Source organism: Homo sapiens, chromosome 5 (assembly GCF_000001405.40).
Source record: "Homo sapiens chromosome 5, GRCh38.p14 Primary Assembly".
NCBI classification, from domain to species: Eukaryota; Metazoa; Chordata; class Mammalia; order Primates; family Hominidae; genus Homo; species Homo sapiens.
Window position 1 is genome coordinate 17607362 of NC_000005.10, and position 19101 is coordinate 17626462.

Below are 19101 nucleotides of genomic sequence, written 5' to 3' on the forward strand. Positions count from 1 at the left end.
TTTTGGGATCCATGTGCAGAATGTGCAGGTTTGTTACAAAGGTATACATGTGCCCTAGTGGTTTGCTGCACCTATCAACCCATCATGGAGGCTTTAAGCCCTGCGTGCATTGCATATTTGTCCTGATGCTCTCCCTTCCCTTGCCTCCCATCACCTGACAGGCCATGCTGTGTGATGTTCCCCTCTCTGTGTCGGTGTGTTCTCATTGATCAGCTCCCACGTGTGAGTGAGAACATAGGGTGTTTGGTTTTCTGTTCCTGTGTTAGTTTGCTGAGAATGATGGTTTTCAGTGTTATCCAAGTCACCGCAAAAACAGGAGTTCATTCTTTTTTATGGCTGCATAGTATTCCATGCTGTATATATGCCACATGTTCTTTATCCAGTCTATCATTGATGGGCATTTGGGTTGGTTCCAAGTCTTTGCTATTGTAAACTGTGCTGCAGTAAACTTACATGTATATGTGTCTTTATAGTAGAATGATGTATAATCCTTTGGGTATATACCCAGTAATGAAATTGCTGGGTCCAACGGTATTTCTGGTTCTATATCCTTGAGGAATCGCCACACTGTCTTCCACAATGGTTGAACTAATTTACACTCTCACAGACATTGTAAAAGTGTTTCTATATCTCCACAGCCTTGCCAGCATCTGTTGTTTCCTGACCTTTTAATAATCACATACTAAATCTTCTCAATATATAATATCATATAGCCACAGCTCTCAGGAAAGAAATCTGTAGAAAGTGATATCTTTTCAGGAGAAATCTTTGACAGCATTCATGGCTGATTGTATTACATGTTAATGACAATGCAATTTTTCCTGGAGCTTCATCACTATTCTTAAAGTACATTACTATTCATAATGTACATTTGGAGACTGCCTAGAAAAATGTGGTCTCTGATTGGTGCTCCTTAAGTGGTGACAAGATACCTACGAAAGAAACAGAGTCTCACTCCGTTGCCCAGTCTGAAATGTAGTGGCGCAATCTCTGCTCACTGCAAGCTCCGCCTCCCAGGATCATGCTATTCTCCTGCCTCGGTCTCCTGAGTATCTGGGAATAGAAGCGCCTGCCACCACACCCAGCTAATGTTTGTATTTTTAGCAGAGACCGGGTTTCACCGTGTTAATCATGATGGTCTCGATCTCCTGCCCTCGAGACTGGGTGCCTCGGCCTCCCAAAGTGCTGGGATTACAGGCGTGGGCCACCGCGCCCGGCCCGTACTTGACTATTTTCCAAAACTGACTATTTTGGGAAAAGCTTAACATCCTCACTGCCTGCCTTTGCCCCCCACAAGTAATTAGCATATGTCTAAATAAAGTTTAAGCAAGCTAGCTCCACTATTCCCAAGCACATATTATCTGGGTCTAGTCTTTAGAAGTATAAAGTGCAAATCTTACATCTATACAAAAAGTTGTACCCAAACTGGAAAGGCTTAAATGATCAATTGATGGATTTGTGTTTCCTACGGAAGAGGGTACAAAGCAGAGTGCTAATATATGTATATAGGGGAGAGGAGGTCAGGGCTTTTATGAAATGAATGCAGTCCAATCTTGGGAAGAGTTTCTTAAGTAGCATGAATGTTAGAGAGACGATTCATGACATTTCAACTTATTGCCATGTCTAAAAATATCAAGACATAGCCAGCAGTTTTTAAAAAATACATTTTTCTCAATGAAACTATTATTGAGACAGAGGAGGTTTTTCCTTTATTTATTTATTTTCCAATGACTTAGTTTTCTTAGTCACATATTCAAGGGAGCATACTGCTGTTTGGCAAAATGTGAGAATTCCACATCCTGTTTTTGTTTGTTTTTAAAGATGAAAGAGCTGAACAACCATGTTTTGTGTTAGACATACCACCAGATTATTCAAATTTCTTTAGAATCATACTCCAAAAATTAAACTATGATTTAGTTTCAAAAATTGTCTGTAGTGTTCTGTGAATTGACAGCTCATTAGGACATTCTTTAGTTTGGCTGAAACCAAAAAACCTGAAACCGTCAAAATGGAAAAAAATGGAGTTTGCCAAATTCTGCTTCTTACACGTTCACCTACCATGCCATGTTCAAATATTGTACTTGATAAGTATTGGAAACTTAAGGTACTGTTAATTTCAATAGAGTTTCACCAAAGTAGTATTTTTTGTGATAAAGCCATAATCTCATCAGTAATGCCTTTCTAAAAGATCCAACAGAAAATATGAACTAGCAACTCATCATGACAAGAAAGTAAAACTCAGGAAAAATCCTAAGGCAGAGCAGCTTCAGGCTTCAGTGTGAAACTATCATAGTCTGGGCACAGTCGCTCACGCCTATAGTCCCTTCACTTTGGGAAGCCAAGATGGGGCAGATCACCTGAAGTCAGCAGTTGAAGACCAGCCTGGCCAAAATGGTGAAACCTCCTCTCTACTTTAAAAAAGACAAAAATTTGCCTGGCGTGGTGGCGCGTACATTTAGTCCCAGCTACTCTGGAGGATGCGGCAGGAGAATCCCTTGAGCCCAGGATGTGGAGGCTGCAGTGAGCTGAGATCAGGCCACTGTAACCCAGCCTGGGGGACAGAGTGAGACTCCGTCTCAAAAATAAATCAATAAAATAAAAGAAGATAAAATAAAATTGAAATAATATTTTCATATTCCCCTCATGCAGCCCATTTTATTTTCAGAGTATTTGATAAAACACTTGTTTCCCTGTGAGTTAGAGACGTTTTTCTCAGACACTGAAGTTTTCTAATGTGCAACTTCATAAAATATCTCATTTTTACTGTAAATAGTTTCTTTATTGTTGTGAAATGTGAACTTTGCAATTCTGTGAGGAAGACTGAATTCTGAAATGCCCCCTGCATTTCCCACCCCTCAGAGACTCACCCTGTGTCTGCCCCTCCCTTGGGTGTGGGCAGAACCACGAATTGATGAGCCCGCCCAAATCCCTGATTAGATTAGGGATATCCTGAACCAATAGCTGCTAAGGGCTGGGTCTAATTCAATCATCTGAGCTCTTTATAAGGGAGGACTGAACCTCCCTGAGATTACATTCCCCCATGGGAGATTCCCCAGCACTGGCTGTGCAGACCTAGGGAGCCTCACAGCCCAGACCTGGGCAACACTTGTAGGAGCTGAGAGCATCCTCACAGCAGCAGGCAGAACAAACAAGTGGGCCTGGGGCTCACAACCCTAAGGCATTGAATTCTGCCACCAACACGAATGAGATTGAAGACAGACCCTTCTCACGTGAAGGTAATGACCACACAGCCAGACCCATCCTGGAGGTCCGTCATGTGACTCTGAGCAGGAGGCAGTCACTTGGCCTAGCAGTACTTCTGACCTGTGAGCTGGTGTTTGTTTTAAATATCCAAAATTGGTGAGAATTTATTCTGCATTGATCTAAAACTAATATACTCTCCATCCACAAGTTTCTTCACATTGTGGAAGTGAGAACATTCAGTGTGTGTGTTTGCATGTGGGAAGGGGAGGCAGGGGGCTGTGTCCAGTTATGGTTAAACTGGCACAGCAGAAACACAGCAGCTCAACTCTTTGAAAGGTTCTCATTGCAGATCCATAATCGAACCACCCCAGCCAGAACTTCTGCCTGTACAGCTGCTGTCACGGAGCAGACTTGAATCTCACCCATGGAGACAGGCAGGCAAAGAGGTGCGTCTGCTGAGATGTTCGCCATGCCCCAAGGTCTGAAGGGCAGCAACAAGGATGGAATCCCTGAGGACCTAGATGGGAACTTGGAAGAACCCAGGGATCAGGAAAGTGAGCTCAGAAGTCAGGATGTCATGGACCTCACAGAAGGTGACAATGAAGCATCAGCCTCAGCTCCTCCTGCAGCCAAAAGACAGAAAACAGATACCAAGGGGAAGAAGGAGAGGAAGCCCACCGTGGATGCAGAGGAGGCTCAGATGACAACCCTGCTGTATGCCATGTCTGAGGAGCAGCTATCCCGCTACGAAGTGTGTCGCCGGTCAGCTTTCCCAAAAGCACGCATTGCAGCTCTGATGCAGTCTATCACTGGCAGATCGGTGTCTGAGAACACCGCCATTGCCATGGCTGGAATAGCTAAGGTCTTGGTTGGAGAGGTGGTGGAAGAGGCCCTGGACGTGTGCGAGATGTGGGGAGAAACGCCCCCGCTGCAGCCCAAGCATTTAAGGGAGGCCGTTCGCAGGTTAAAGCCCAAGGGCCTCTTCCCCAACAGCAACTATAAAAAAATCATGTTCTAAGCCCAAGGCCAGAGGGAAGGGTCTGTTTGTGCAGGAATAAGTATCGCATTCATCTTCCAATGACAGGACTGCATTTGCTGGAGCTTCCTTATCTCAGTCCACCCTGGATTCACCCACAATCTTAGTGTCTGAAACTGTGAAGTTGACCTTACCTAGGTGAAGACAGCAGATTGTTTCACAGTAGCCTTGGCTAAATGTTTGGGACTCCAGGGGCATATTGAGGCATTTTTCTCTGTCTTTCTAGTTGGAAGAATAAAGGTGCCTGGGCCTTGAGCATCCTGTGGACAGGTAGCTGCATTTGGAGAGGGAAACCCTTTCCAGGAGATTTGTACGGTTTCATTCTGAAGCCTGGTGTTGCTGTGTCTTACCTTGTATGCTGATGTCTGGGTTTCAGTAAGCGAAGCCTCCAGAAATGTTTCCCAATTGTTGTCCTCCTCTGATTTTCAATGCTCATATGTATTTGTTTTAGTCATCACAAAAGCAGTTAAACTGTTTTCCAAACTGCAGAAATAAAAATATAATCACAAAGAATTTTTTTTTCTCCATGTTGACTCTTCCATTCCTGCCTACTTTGCTTACGTCAGCAAGTGGCCCTGTAGTTTAATCATAATGCAATACAGTATTGGTGCATCGTGTAAGACTAGAGAGAAACCAATTCCAAAACCACCTTTCCTCAAGCCTCCATTTGTAATGATCATATGGGCAGTTCCAAAGACACAGACAGAGCCAATTGATACTGCACGTTCGCTACACATGGTTATTTTACCAGTGCTTCCGGAGACACTGAAATTTAGTTCCAAACATTCCTTTAGAGGAGTCTTGATTTTATTCATTCTACCAATGAGCCACTCAGGAAATCAAACCTGAGTACAGAGACATTGGAGAAGTCGTTAAAGTATTGGACCAAGTAGGTTCATCATGAGTGACAAAGTTATTTCACACTCTACTTGTACATACTCTGCTTTACCTTTATGATGGAAAAGAGTAATTTTTCATTATAGAATAAAGACCTGAGAGTTATTATAGAATCACTGTGACCCTTCCAAGCACAGCTCACCAATATCCACGGTGCTGTTTCTGTCTGTTTACCTTTGCCATGTGTCCCCTGAATCACAGAGTGTAAGCAAAAAGTATCAAAAAGACCCCATAGTTCAGCTCTAATATTGAATGGAGAATAATATTTACTCTTTCTTCCTGAAGCCAAAGATACCCCCATAAAATATAGTTTTATTTCCTCATACACTCATCTTTTGCTCTGAAAATAGGACTTATTGTACATAGAATCTGCCTTTGGGTATCACACAAATTTCTAAACTTTACCAAGTATGGGGAAATTCTGTGTCATACCTCCATATTCTGACATGGTTTAGCTTTCCTTTTATTTCACCAACTTTCTTGTAAAGGCATCTAACAAGTTAGACCATTGCGTCTGAGAGACACAAGGAGGGTACAGGTTCTTGGAAGAACTGATGGAGATGGGAGGGCTCTCTCAGGAATTAAAGTGCTGGAGCAACCAAAACAAGTAAGATCCAAGAGACTTAATATCTCCCAGTCTTTAGATTGCTCTCAGCTCATTCCTTTTCCATGGCACTGAGGAGTCATGGAAGCTGTATTTTGTCAGATGTTACAGGTCTAGCACTTTCTGAACAGTAGAGGAAAAGAGAACCTGGCCCAAGCAGCCTGAGGTGGAGAGAAGCATCTGTAGAGAGTAGTGCTATGGTGATTCCACACACAAGCCTATAACATTTCTCTGGCCTCTCATGGAACTCAATATTTTGAATGGGGTCTGAGTAAAGCTGAACTGCTGAAGACAGAAACAAGTTCCCATCAAGGTCTCAGAGGTCAGGTCAGGAGCAGGAACACAGTGTTGTTTTCTCAGAGAGGAAAATTGGATTAGCTGAGAAGGTTCAGCGTCCTTACAGATTCTTTTTTTTCTTTTTTACTTTATGTTATGGGATACATGTGCAGAATGTGCAGGTTTGTAACAAAGCTTTACATGTTCCCTAGTGGTTTGCTGCACCAATCAACCCATCATCTAGGCTTTAAGCTCCGCATGCATTGGGATTTTTCCTAATGCTCTCCTTTCCCTTGCCTCCTACCCCTTGACAGGCCACGTTGTGTGATGTTCCCCTTTCTGTGTCCATGTGTTCTCATTGATCAACTCCCACTTATGAGTGAGAACATATGGTGTTTGATTTTCTGTTCCTGTATTAGTTTGCTGAGAATGATGGTTTCCAGTGTCATCCATGTCACCGCAAAGAACACGAACTCATTCTTTTTTATGGCTGAATAGTATTCCCTGGTGTATATATGCCACATGGTCATTATCCAGTCTATCATTGATGGGCATTTGGGTTGGTTCCAAGTCTTTGCTATTGTAAACTGTGCTGCAATGTATCATGTGTATGTGTCTTTATAGTAGAATGATTTATAATCCTTTGGGTATATACACAGTAATGAGATGGCTGGGTCCAATGGTATTTCTGGTTCTAGATCCTTGAGGAATCACCACACTGTCTTCCACAATGGTTGAACTAATTTACACTCTCACAGACATTGTAAAAGTGTTTCTATATCTCCACAGCCTTGCCAACATCTGTTGTTTTCTGACTTTTTAATAATCACATACTAAATGTTCTCAATATATAGTATCATATAGTCACTGCTCTCAGGAAAGAAATCTGTAGAAAGTGGTACCTTTCCAGGAGAAATCTTTGACAGCTTTCATGGCTGATTGTATTACATGTTAATGACAATGAATTTTTTCCTGGAGCTTCATCACTATTCTTAAAGTCTATCTCATAATGTGCATTTGGAGACTGCATAGAAAAATGTGGTCTCTGATTGGTGCTGGTAAAGTGGTGACAAGATACCTAACAAATAAAGTGACTGTACTTGACTATTTTCTATCATTTTCTATTTTGGGATAAGCTTAACATCCTCACTGCCTACCTTTGCCCCCACAAAATGCCTAAATAAAGTTTAAGTAAGCTAGCTCCACTATTCCAAGCACATATTATCTAGGGTCTAATCTTTAGAAGTATAAAGTACAAAGCTTACAAGTACAACTACACTAAAATTTGTACCCAAACTAGAAAGGCTTAAATGATCAACTGATGGATTTTTGTTTCCTATGGAAGAAGGTACAAAGCAGAGCACTAATATACATATATAGGGGAGAAGAGGCCAGGGCTTTTATGGATGGCACAGAGCTAGGTGTCTTCAAAGAGGTGCAACAGGTAAGCCTCACTGGGCTCCTGCAGGTCGCCAATGGTAGCGCTTGGAAGCGCAGGACGAGGATGATGGCCTGGGAGATCTTGCGCACCAGGCGCTGGAAGGGCAGCTTGAGGAGTAACAGCTGCATGGACTTCTGGTACTTTCTGATTTCGCGCATTGTCAGGCCTGTAGCGGTGAGGCTTCTTGATCCCTCCTGTAGGCCGCGCCCTTTTGCTGGCGGCTTTAGTGGCCAGGGTCTTTGTGGTGCCTGCCAGGCGGTGGCTTTGCTGGCTGTTGGCTTGGTGCATGCAGTGACCTGGGGCTGTGGTCTCTCTCCTGTCCTTGGGCTGAGCCAGGTTAACTGGAGGCAGCGCTGGTTTCAGACTGCAATGATGGTGGGGCTGTGGACAAAAATCAGAGAGTCTGGGAGTTGAGATTCATGCAAAAGACTCTTCAGACACTTAACCCCTTCCAAACCAGCCCCAGACTTACCAGCTCGCAAGTGTGTGGGTCAGAGGTCCTGCTGCTCGGTCTCCCGGGGGTCCTGGGCTTCCTTGGTCTACACATCAGCTGTGGTAAATCTCCCTCCCCCGAGGCAGCCTGGCTCTGGCTGGACATCTGTGTAGTCTCAGCCAAGTCCAGCCTATTATAAGGGGCTCAGATGATTGCATTAGACCCACGCAGCTACCTTCCATTGCTCTCACTGCTTCGCCAGACCCTCAACCTCATCAGGGTTGTGAAAACACAATCAAGTCCTGGGTTCTGCATGCAGCCCTGGAAGGGCTGAACCTCTGGACTGTGCCTCATGGGAGAGATGATAGGTGAGAGTTAGCTAGAATCTAGGTGCCAAAGAGATCCCAAAAGTTTACATTTCACGATCATCATGGAAGTTACAATGAAAAAGACATTTCAATACAGTTGCACATTAGATGACTTCCGTGACTGCCGCAAAACACCAAGGGTGCCATCGTGAGGTGTCTCTCAGGTTCTCTGAGGATGAGTTGAAACCGGGAGGGATGGATGGAAAATCAAAAAGGTCACTCTTCTATTAGGGATGCTCCGGGGGACAGGTTTTCTCCCACAAAGTGATATTCGTGGAAATTTGGGGGTAGCCTTTGGGGGAAGCTGAGACTTTTTGATCAAACGGTCATATATGCCTGTCACTGAGGCATCCTGGCTCCTTTTTTTACCTTGACGCCAGGGCTGAGCCTTGTTTCCATTGCCCATTTTGGAAATGGCATGAGGCCCAGTGAAGGCCCTGAGTTCACTGCACTGCTGAACCCAGGTCACAGCTGCTACCTTCATACTTCTGGCTCCATGAGAACAAGTAAAGCAAACAAAAACAAACAAACAATCAAACAATACACATACAAAAGGCCCCTATTTTGATACACTATTAACAGGCTTCTCTGATACTTGTAGTAGAAATTGAATGCCCTTCTATGCAATGCACAGACCATGCCCAGAACAGGAAATCCCATGATAATCAATACTCACAAAATAAGTTCACATTTTAAAAAAAGTTTTAAAAGGAGAGCTACTTTTGTAGAAAACCTTAAGTTCACAGCAAAATCAGGCAGAAGGAGCAGAGGTTTCCCTTATCCCCTTTCCCCACATATGCATAGCCCCCTTGACTATCAACTTTCTGCTCCAGAGTAGTATGTTGGCTACAGTCATTCAACCTGCATGGACACATCACTCTGACTCCAAGACCATAGCTCTCCTTAGGGACTTACTTGGGTGTTGTACATTCTATGGACTCGAGCAAAGGTGTAATTACATGTATCCACCGTTATTGCATTCTGTGGACTAGTTTCACTTCTGTACAAATGCACTGTGTCCCATCTCTGCACTCCCCCTTGACCCTCGGTCTCTTGCAACCACTCAACTATTGATTTATTTCTTTTTATTTAAAATACACACATCTCATTGTATATATTTCTTATGTACATAATGCTGTTATAAAGTATGAACACATTGTCTAATATCTAAATTAGGTAACTGACAGCCATTACCTGACATACGTATTATTGTGGTGAGAACATTTCACATCCAGGCTAATAGCACTTCTCAAGAATATGATCTATTGTTAAATTATAGTCACCGTGTTGTAATATAGTCCTTGAGCTTATTCTCCCTATATAACTGAAATGCTGTGTATTTTGACAAACGTCTTCTCAATCCTTCACCCACAGCCACCCAGCCCCTGACAACCAGAATTCTTCTTTTTGACATCTATTAGATTAACTTTGTGAGATTCCACATATCATTGAGATGACGTGGTATTTGTCTTCCTACACCTGGCTTATTTCACGTAGCATGATGTTCTCCAGGTGCACCCATGTGTCACAAATGACAAGATGTCCTTCTTTAAGACTGCATAGTATTCCATTGTGCATGTATATCAGATTTACCCCATCCTGTCATCCAGTTTTGGACATTTAGGTGAATTCCATATCTTAGCTATTGTGACTTAACATGGGAGTGCAGATATCTCTTCAATACTGATTTAATTTCCTTTTGGTATATACCTGGCAGTGTGGGATTGCTGGATCATATGGTAGCTCTATTCTTTCCATTTTTGGAGGAATGTCCATCCTGCTTTCTATAATGGCTGTCCTAATTTACGTTCCCATGAATAGTGCAAGGGTTCCCTTTCCTCCACATCCTCATCAACAAGTGTTGTCTTTTGACTTTTTGATCATAGACATCCTAATGAGTGTGAGGTGGTATCTTCTTTCAGTTTTAACTTACATTTCTCTGATGATTAGCGATGTTGAGCATATATACGTATATACATACCAGTTGGCCACTGTATGTCTTCTTTTCAGAAAGGTATGTCATTTAGGTCCTTTGCCCGGTTTTTAAATTGTGTTTTTTCTTGCTATTGAGTCATTTGAGTTCCTAGAGTATTTTGGACAGTAATTAATCCCTTATATGATGTAGTGTTTGCAAATATTTTCTCTCATTTTGATTTTGTCTCTTCATGATGTTTATTGTCTTGTCGGCTTTGCAGATTTTTTTTTTTTAAGTTGGATGCAATCCATCTGTCTATTCACCCTTTTGTTGTCTGTGCTTTTGGGTCATATACCAAAAGTTTTTGGCTTAACCAGAGTCAATGAGGATGTCCCCTGTTTTCTTCTAGTTGGTTTATACTTTCTAGTTTTTAATTTATTTGGATTTATTCTTGTGTACAGTAAGATATAGGGGTCCAATTTCATTTTTCTTCATGTGGCTACCAGGTTTCCCTATCGCCATTGATGGAAGAAACTGTGGTTTTGTGGTGGTGAGTTGTTGGCACCCTTTTAAACTATCAGTTGGCTGTATATGGATGGACTGATTTCTAGACTCTCTGCTCTGATCCGGTAGCTTAAGTGTCTGTTTTTATGCCAGTGTTATGCCATTTTGGTTCCTACAGATTGATAGCATACTTTGAAGATAGAAAACCATGAAATCTTTTTGTTTTCTCTTTGTATTTGCCACTGACATCATCACTCAGAGAGATTTCCAAGGAGATACTGATTCTTTGCTTTTTCAGTTTTTTTCTCATTGTGAAGATAGAGTGATGACATTGAATTTTCTTAGGAGTCACCCCAAAAACTGGAACTCCATTTTATTTTTGCTATATATTTATTATCATTTATCTTATATATATGGTATTTGGCAATTACATGTCAGTACAATTACAAATAGGCTTCAATTACACAAAATATTTAATGCTCAAATCCTACAGTGAGAGGACATTATATTTTTAATACAGTAATCTGCAAAATAAACTAAAAATAAAACATCATGTAGTATAAGGATATATTGTTATTGTATGCATTTCTGTTTTAGACATGCATGAAACACACATCAATATGTTCTTTCAGCCATTAATATAGGTTACATTGGGACCAGCTCTTTGGAGGCGAATGTGTGGAAATGAATGAAGATATTTGACAGGGTCTCTGGGGTTTGTGTTTCTCTGTGTAGTTTTTCATGCAGCTCCTACAGTGTTCTACCCTCCTAACATCATGAAAGATCACTCCATGACATAAAACAATCTTGGTCCGAATGTGAAAAAACCCATTTTAGAGGAAAAACTAATTTTTAATTTCATTTTTATTTTTGCAAGCTGAAAAACAGTTGGTTGATTTCCCAGGAAAAGTTATGGAAAAGTATTAAATGTTTACAAGGTAACTATTCCAGTGCTCTTAGAAAGCCCGGGACCTTCTGGATAGAGTATTGTAAGGGAAGACTTACTGTTTGTTTTATCTCCTTAAAATCACATTTGAGCAAAAACATCCAAAGTCATAGCAACTTCAGGATTCAGTGTGAATCCACCATAGTCTCTTAAAAGGATGTCTTTTTTCTCTCTGAAAACAGCTCCCCGTCCACAGGATGCCCAAGGCCCATGCTCCTTTCTTCCTCCAACTAGGAAGACCCAGAAAAGCACCCACTCATGCATGGACCTCAGAGAACCAAATATAATGACAATGATTGTTAGTTTTTTGAGACAGAGTCTTACTCTGTTGGCCAGGTGGAAGGGCAGTGATGTCAATTTGGCTCCCTTTAACTTCCACCTCCACAGCTCAATCAGTCCTTCTACCTCAGCCTCCAAGTAGGTGAAACCATAGACACCAGCAACCGCACCCAGCTAATTTTTTTTTTTTTTTTTTGGAGAGGAGGTTTTGCCAACATTCCTGGCCTGGACAGGAACTTCTGAGCTCAATCGATCTGCCGCCCTTGGCCACCCAAAATGTTGGTTTTACAGAAATGAGTCATTGTGCCTGGTCTGAGATATAAACATGATTGAAAGGGATTATGAAACTGGCTGCTGCCTTCATCTGGGTGAGACCAATATCTTCCCAGAGGAAGATGATTTTTTTAGTTTATTTTGGTACTGGATGTTGGGGAAGCAGGACCTGGGTTGTCCCATGTGAAAGGCCTTTTTCCAGTGCTTGGGTGTCACAGGGGGCATTTTCCCACATCTCACACATGGCCAGGGCTTCTCCTACCACCTCCCCGACAAAGTTCTGGGTCATTACAGCCATGTGCATGGCAGTAACCTGGTTCTAGGACACTGACCTGCACCTGACGGAATGCATCAGACTTCTACAGGGTGCCTCTCTCCCTTTCCCACCACAAACACGCCCACACTGGTAATTCTGCCAACCCTAATGTGAAGTGACTTATGGATACAGAGTCTATTCATACAGAATCTATTCATATTGTAGAAAGTAGAGATCAATGTATGTTCATAGCAAACTAGGAGGAACAGCCAAGGTGACAGGGAACATTGCAAACATGGAACTGTATATGGAGAAAGCCAAAGTGTGGATCTCCTCTACTGTTTGATCAATCACAGGAGACATTATCGGTTTGACGCCTATAAGTTTCTTTGGTTTTTAATAAAATTAAGGAACCAGTTTTTTCAGAATTGTTCTTGATTTGAACTAGTGAAACGTGTTCACTCAGACATTTCCACTTGACATGAATGCATTAACTCCTCAATGTAGATTGAAAATTTACAATTAAAAGAAAATAGAAAAACAGTCTCTACCTGTGATTTTTGCTTCGGTTTCTGTTCTCAATCGTATGCTTAGCTACTTTTAGACCCCGTGCAGGAAATGATACTGATACTGAACACAACTTCTAACATCATATCTATCATTAACAGAGAGAAGAGGAAAAACACAACAGGACGCAAAGGAAACCATTTACAATGCAAGATTTCCCAGGAGGGCTCTTCAGCACCCTCTCCACGGAGGCTGTGGGCCAGCTGCACGTCTCTTGGCATAATTGGGACGCTTCTGGCATGGATGACATACAGGTTGGTGTCTTCAAAGAGGCGCACCAGGTAGGCCTCATTGGTCCCCTGAAAGCACCAACGGCCACGCTCTGGAAGCCCAGGTCCCGGCTGATGGTCCGGGGGATCTCGCGCACCAGGCGCTGGAAGGTTAGCTTGTGCTGGAGCAGCTGAGTGGACTTGTGGTACTTCTGATTTCACTCAGCGCCATGGGGCCAGGTCTGCAGCTGTGAGACTTCTTGATCCATCCTCTAGAGGGCGCCCTTTTGCGGACGGCTTTTGTGGTCCGGGGCTTCCTGGGAGCCTGCCAGGTGGTGGCTTTGCAGGCGGTCTGTTTGATGGGCCCCATGGGGGCGGGCAGTAGCCTCTCCCCTCTCCTTGGGCTGAGCCTGGCCCACTGCAGGCGGCGCTGGAGTCAGAGAGCAAGGGCACTGGGGCTGTGGACAGGATTCAGAGAGCCCGTGAGTTGAAATCCATGTACAAGATGCTCCCACACACTGAGCCCCTTCCAACCCACCCCAGACTTACCAGCAGGAGAAGATGCAAACCGAAATGGTCACTCCTCTACCAGGGATGCTCTGGGAGCATTTTTCTCTCCCAAAGTGACATTCATGGAAATCTGCGCGTAGCCTTCGCGGGAAGCTGAGGCTTTTTGTTCTAATGGTCATATGTGCCTGTCACTGAAGCCCTCCCTGGGTCTTTTTTTACCTTGATGGAGGGGGTGAGCCTTCTTTCCATTGCCTGCTTTGGAAATGCCATGAAGCCCCGCGAAGCCAGCCCTGAGTTCACTGAGCTGCTGAACCGAGGACTCAGCAGCTACCTTCATACTATTGGCTTCATGAGTAAAAGCAAAGCAGAGTAAAGAAAAGAAACAAACAAATAAACAACACACCAACCAAAGGCTCCTATTTCAATACACGGTGCACAGGCTTCTCTGACAACTTATAGTATAAATTTAATGCCCATGCATGCAATGCATATACCACACACAGAACAGGAATTTCCAGGAAAATCAATACTCACAAAATAAGTTCACATTTCTCTTTAAAAATAGAGCTCATTTTGTAACAAACCTTTAGGTTCTTGCCAAAATTGGGCAGAAGGAACATAGGTCCCCAATATCCTCTCACCACACATATGCATAGCCCCCTTCACTATGAACTTTCTGCCCCAGAGTGGTACGTTGTCTACAACCTTTCAACCTACATGGACACATCACTGTGACTCCAACTCCATCGCTCTCCTTAGGATTCACTTGAGTGTTGTATATTCCATGGATTCAAGCAAAGGCATAATTGCATGTATCCACCATTATTGTATTCTATGGACTAGTTTCACTTCCATGCAATCGTACTCTGTCCAGTCTCCCCACTTCTCTCCTTCACTCTCGGTCCCTTGCAACCACTCAACTATTGACTTGTGTATTCATATTTAAAGTGTGGACACATCTTGTTGTATATATTTCTTATGTACAAAATGCTGTTTTAAAGTATGTACACATTGTCTAATATCTAAATCTAGGTAGTTGACATTCATTACCTCACATATATATTACTGTGGTGAGAACACTGCACATCCATGTTAATGAGATTTTTCAAAAATACGATCTATTGTTAACTATAGTCATCATGCTATACAATAATCCTTGAACTTATTCCCCCTATGTAACTGAAATGTGTATTTTGACCAATGTCTTCTCAAATTCCCCACCGCCTGTCACCACAGCACCAAACAACCACTTTTCTTCTCTTTTACATCCATCAGACTACCTTTGTGACATTCTACATAGCATTGAGATTATGTGGTATTTGTGTTCCTACCTATGCCTGACTTATTTCACTTAGCATGATGTTCTCCAGGTGCACCCATGTGTCACAAATGACAAGATTTCCTTCTTCTTTAAGGCTGTATGGTATTCCCTTGTGTATATATGTCAGATTTTCCTCCTCCTGTTATCTGCTTTTGGATATTTAGGTGGATACCCTATCTTAGGTCTTGTAAGTAGTGCTGCAATCAATGTGGGAGTGCAGATATCTCTTCAATAGACCGATTTCATTTCCTTTTGATATAGACCTCCCAGTGTGGGCTTGCTGGATCGTATGGTAGCTGTATTTGTTTAGTTTGTGGAGGAAGGTCCATACTGTTTTCTATAATGGCTGTCCTAATTTACATGGCGAGGAAGAATGCAAGGGCTCCCTTTCCTCCACATCCTCGTCGACAAGTTTTGTCCTTTGATGTTTTGATCATAGCCATTCTAATGAACATAAGGTGTTATCTTCTTTCAGTTTTTATTTGCATTTCTCTGGAGATTAGTGATGTTGAGTATATATATATACTAGTAACAGAAGGTATATATGGATATATACCTGGTGGCCACTTTCATGGCTTCTCTTCAGAAATGTCTATTATTTAGTTCCTTTGCCCAGTTTTTAAATTGTATTGTTTCTTGGTTTCAAGTCCTTAGAGTTCCTAGTATATTTTGGACAGTAAATAGTTAATTCCTTATTGAATGTAGGGTTTGCAAATATTTTCTCTCTTTATGATTCTGTCTCTTCATGGTGTTGATTGTTTTGTCGGCTCTGCAGATTTTTTGTTTTTTCATTTGGATGCAATCCATTTATGTATTTTCCCTCTTGCTGTCTCTGATTTTGGGACATATTCCAAAAATCATTGGGTTAACCATTGTCAATGAGGACATCCCCTGTTTTCTTCTAGTAGGTTATACATTTGTTACCATTTATCTTATATTCAGGGTATTGGATCAATTACATGTCAGTATAATTACAAATAATGTTCAATTACACAAAATATTTAATGGTCAAGTCCTACACTGAGAGGGAATTTTATTTCTAATTTTTGTGTTCTTATGGAATAATTTGGAAAATCAAGTAACAATTGAATGTTATCTAGTATGAAAATGTATTGTCATCATATGTATTTCTGTTTTAGAGAAGCACAAAACAGAAATAAACATGTTATTTCAGCCATAAACCTAGTTTACATTGGGGCCATTCCTTGGAGGTGAAGGTGTGGAAAGGAGTGCCCAGATGAGACGGGGTATCTGGGGTCTGTGCTTCTCTTAGTTTTCCATGTAGATCCCAGAGTGTGTTACCATTCTGACATCATCAAACATCATTCCCCGACATGAAACAGTCTTGGTAGGAAAGTAAAAAGAGTCATTTTAGAGAAGAATAGTTTTTTAATTTCATTTTTATTTTTACACGCTGGGAAAGAGGTGCTTGATTCCCCAGGAAAAGTTATGGAAAAGTACTAAATGTTTCCAAGGGCAGCTACTCCAGTACTCTTAGAAAGCCCAGCACCTTCAGGATAGAATATTGTAAGGGAAGACTTTGTTGTGTCTCCTTAAAATCACATATGAGCAAAAATCCTGTTATATCCACTTAAGGATTCGGTATGAAACCACCATAGTCTCTTAAAAGGGTTTCTTTCTTCTCTCTGAAGACAGCTCCACATCCAAAGGATGCTCAAGGCCCATGTACCTTTGTTCTTCCAGCTAGGAAGCCCTAGAACAATGCCTGCTCATACATGGACCTCAGAGACCCAAACATGATGATAATGATTGTTATTTTCTTGAGCCAGGGTCTCACTCTGTCAGCCAGGTAGGAGGGCAGTGGTTCCATCTCGGCTCACTATAATCTCCACTTCTGGAGCTCAAGAGATCCTCCTACCTCAGCCTCTGGAGTAGCTGAAACAGCAGGCACCAACCACCACATTTAGCTTTTTTTTTTTCCATTTTAATTGTAGAGGGGAAGTTTTGTCATGTTGCCCAGGCTGGTCTGGAACTCCTGAGTTCAAGTGATCCACCAACCCCGGTCTCCCAAAATGCTCTCTGATCATAGAAATAAGCCATTGTGCCCCATCTGAGATACAAATATGATTGGATGACATTATTAATCAGGCTGCTGCCTTCATCTGGGTGAGACTAATGTAAGATGTAAGAAAGATGTTAAGTCATGGTTAAGTCCAGGATGGGCTGAGATACTGAAGCTCCAGCGTACAGAGGGCTCTGTCATAGAAAGACTGGAACCAGTACTTTTTCCTCTAAGATCAGGCCTTTCTTTCTAGACTGGGGCCCAGAGGAAGATGACTTTGTTTTGTAGTAGGTGTTTGGGAAGTGGTCACTGGGCTGTCCCCTGAGAAAGGTCTCCCTCCAATGCTTGGGCTGCAGTGGGGCATGTCTCCCCACATCTCAAACATAAGCAGGGCCTCTCCTACCACTTCCCTAACCAAGACCTGTATCATTCCAGCCATGGCCAGGGCTATGACCACGTTGCAAGATGCTGAGCTTCTGGGGATGGACTGCATCGGACTTCTCACAGGTGCCTCTCTCCCTTTCCCACCCACAAACAGACCCACACTGGTTCTTGCCTCCCATAATGTGAAATGACTTGTGTATAGAGACTCTATTCACATTTTAGAAAGTAGAGTGTAATGTATGTTCATAGCAAACAAACACACAGGAATAGCTCAGGAGACAGGGAACATTGAGAACACGGAGCTGCATATAGGAAAAGTCAAAGTGTGGATCGCATCTGCTGTTTGATCAAATGCAGGAGACATTATCTATTTGCCACCAATAAGAAATTTATTTGGTTTTCAATAATACTAATGAGCACATTTTTTCACAATTGTTCTTGATTTGAACTGTTGAAAAGCGTTCAGTGAGAAATTCCCAGTTGACATGAATGTATTAGACCCTCAATGTAGATGGACAGTTTACAAACAAAAGAAAACAGAAACACTCATACCCTTTATATCTGCCTGTGTTGTTACTCCTAATCATGTGCAGGGCTGCTTTTGGACCCCATGAGGGACATAAAACCAAAAATGAAGAGAACTGCTAATATCAGAACTATGATTAACACAAAGACGTTGAAAAACACAACCAAATGGAAACGAAGCCGTCTAGAGTGCAGCGTTTCCCAGGAGCGTGGGCTCCCCAGCACCCTCTCTGCCGAGTTGGCAGGCCAGCTGCATGTCTCTGGGCATAACTGTGACACGCCTGGCATGGATAACACATAGGTTGATGTCTTTAAAGAGGGGGACCAGGTAGGCCTCGCTGTTTCCCTGAAATCGCCAGTGGCCGCACATTGGAAGCGCAGGTCTGGGTTGATGGCCTGGGCAATCTCGTGCTCCAGGCGCTGGAAGGTCAGCTTGTGCAGAAGCAGCTGTGTGGACTTCTGGTACCTCCTGGTTTTGTGCAGCGCCAGGGTGCCAAGCCTGTGGCGGTGAGGCTTCTTGATCCCTCGTGTAGCCAGGACCCTCTTGCCGGTGACTTTGGTGGCCAGGGGCTTCCTGGGGGCCTGCCAGGCGGTGGCTTTGTGGTCAGTCTGCCTAATGCGAGCCATGGTGTAGGGCTGTGGCCTCTGCCTTGTCACTGGGCTGAACCTGGTGAACTGGAAGCAGTGCTGGTACCAGACAGCAATGGTGGTGAGGCTGTGGGCAGGATTCAGAGAGTCTGTGTGTTGGGATCTATGCAGAAGATGCTGCCATACACTTAGCCCCTTCCAACCCAGCCCCATACTTACCAACTCACTGATCAGTGGGTCTGAGGTCCCTGTATTGAGTCTCCTTGAGTAGCCTTGGGATTCCTCGGTCTACACACAGCAGTGGGGAATCTTTCTCCCAGGCAGTCTTGCTCTAGCTGGAGATCTCTGTGATCTCAGCCAAATTCAGTCATTTATAGGAGGCTTGGATGATTGGATTAGACCCACCCAGCTACTTTTCACTGCATTCTGTGCTTCAGCAGATGCTTAACCTAATCAGGGCTGTGAAAGCCCATTAAGTCCCTGCATTCTTCCTCACCCAAGAGAGGTACAGACCTCTGGATTGTGCATTGTGGGAGGGATGG

At 42.9% G+C, this 19101-nt stretch overlaps 1 protein-coding gene and 3 pseudogenes across 2 annotated transcripts; 1 reads left to right on the plus strand and 3 right to left on the minus strand.

The window, feature by feature from the left end:
- Nucleotides 1–3030: 3030 nt before the first annotated feature.
- TAF11L12 (TATA-box binding protein associated factor 11 like 12) lies at nucleotides 3031–4750 on the plus strand. Of its 2 annotated transcripts, NM_001423536.1 has the most exons (2): nucleotides 3031–3236; nucleotides 3554–4750. In NM_001423536.1, the coding sequence occupies exon 2, from the start codon at nucleotides 3629–3631 to the stop codon at nucleotides 4220–4222; it is 594 nt and encodes a 197-aa protein (NP_001410465.1). In that variant the 5' UTR covers nucleotides 3031–3236; nucleotides 3554–3628; the 3' UTR covers nucleotides 4223–4750. The 2 variants fall into 2 exon arrangements, with proteins under 2 accessions (NP_001410465.1, NP_001388615.1); NM_001401686.2 differs by having other exon boundaries at nucleotides 3031–4750.
- On the minus strand, nucleotides 7420–7750 carry H3P19 (H3 histone pseudogene 19; annotated as a pseudogene).
- On the minus strand, nucleotides 13173–13578 carry H3P20 (H3 histone pseudogene 20; annotated as a pseudogene).
- Nucleotides 18207–18598, minus strand: H3P21 (H3 histone pseudogene 21; annotated as a pseudogene).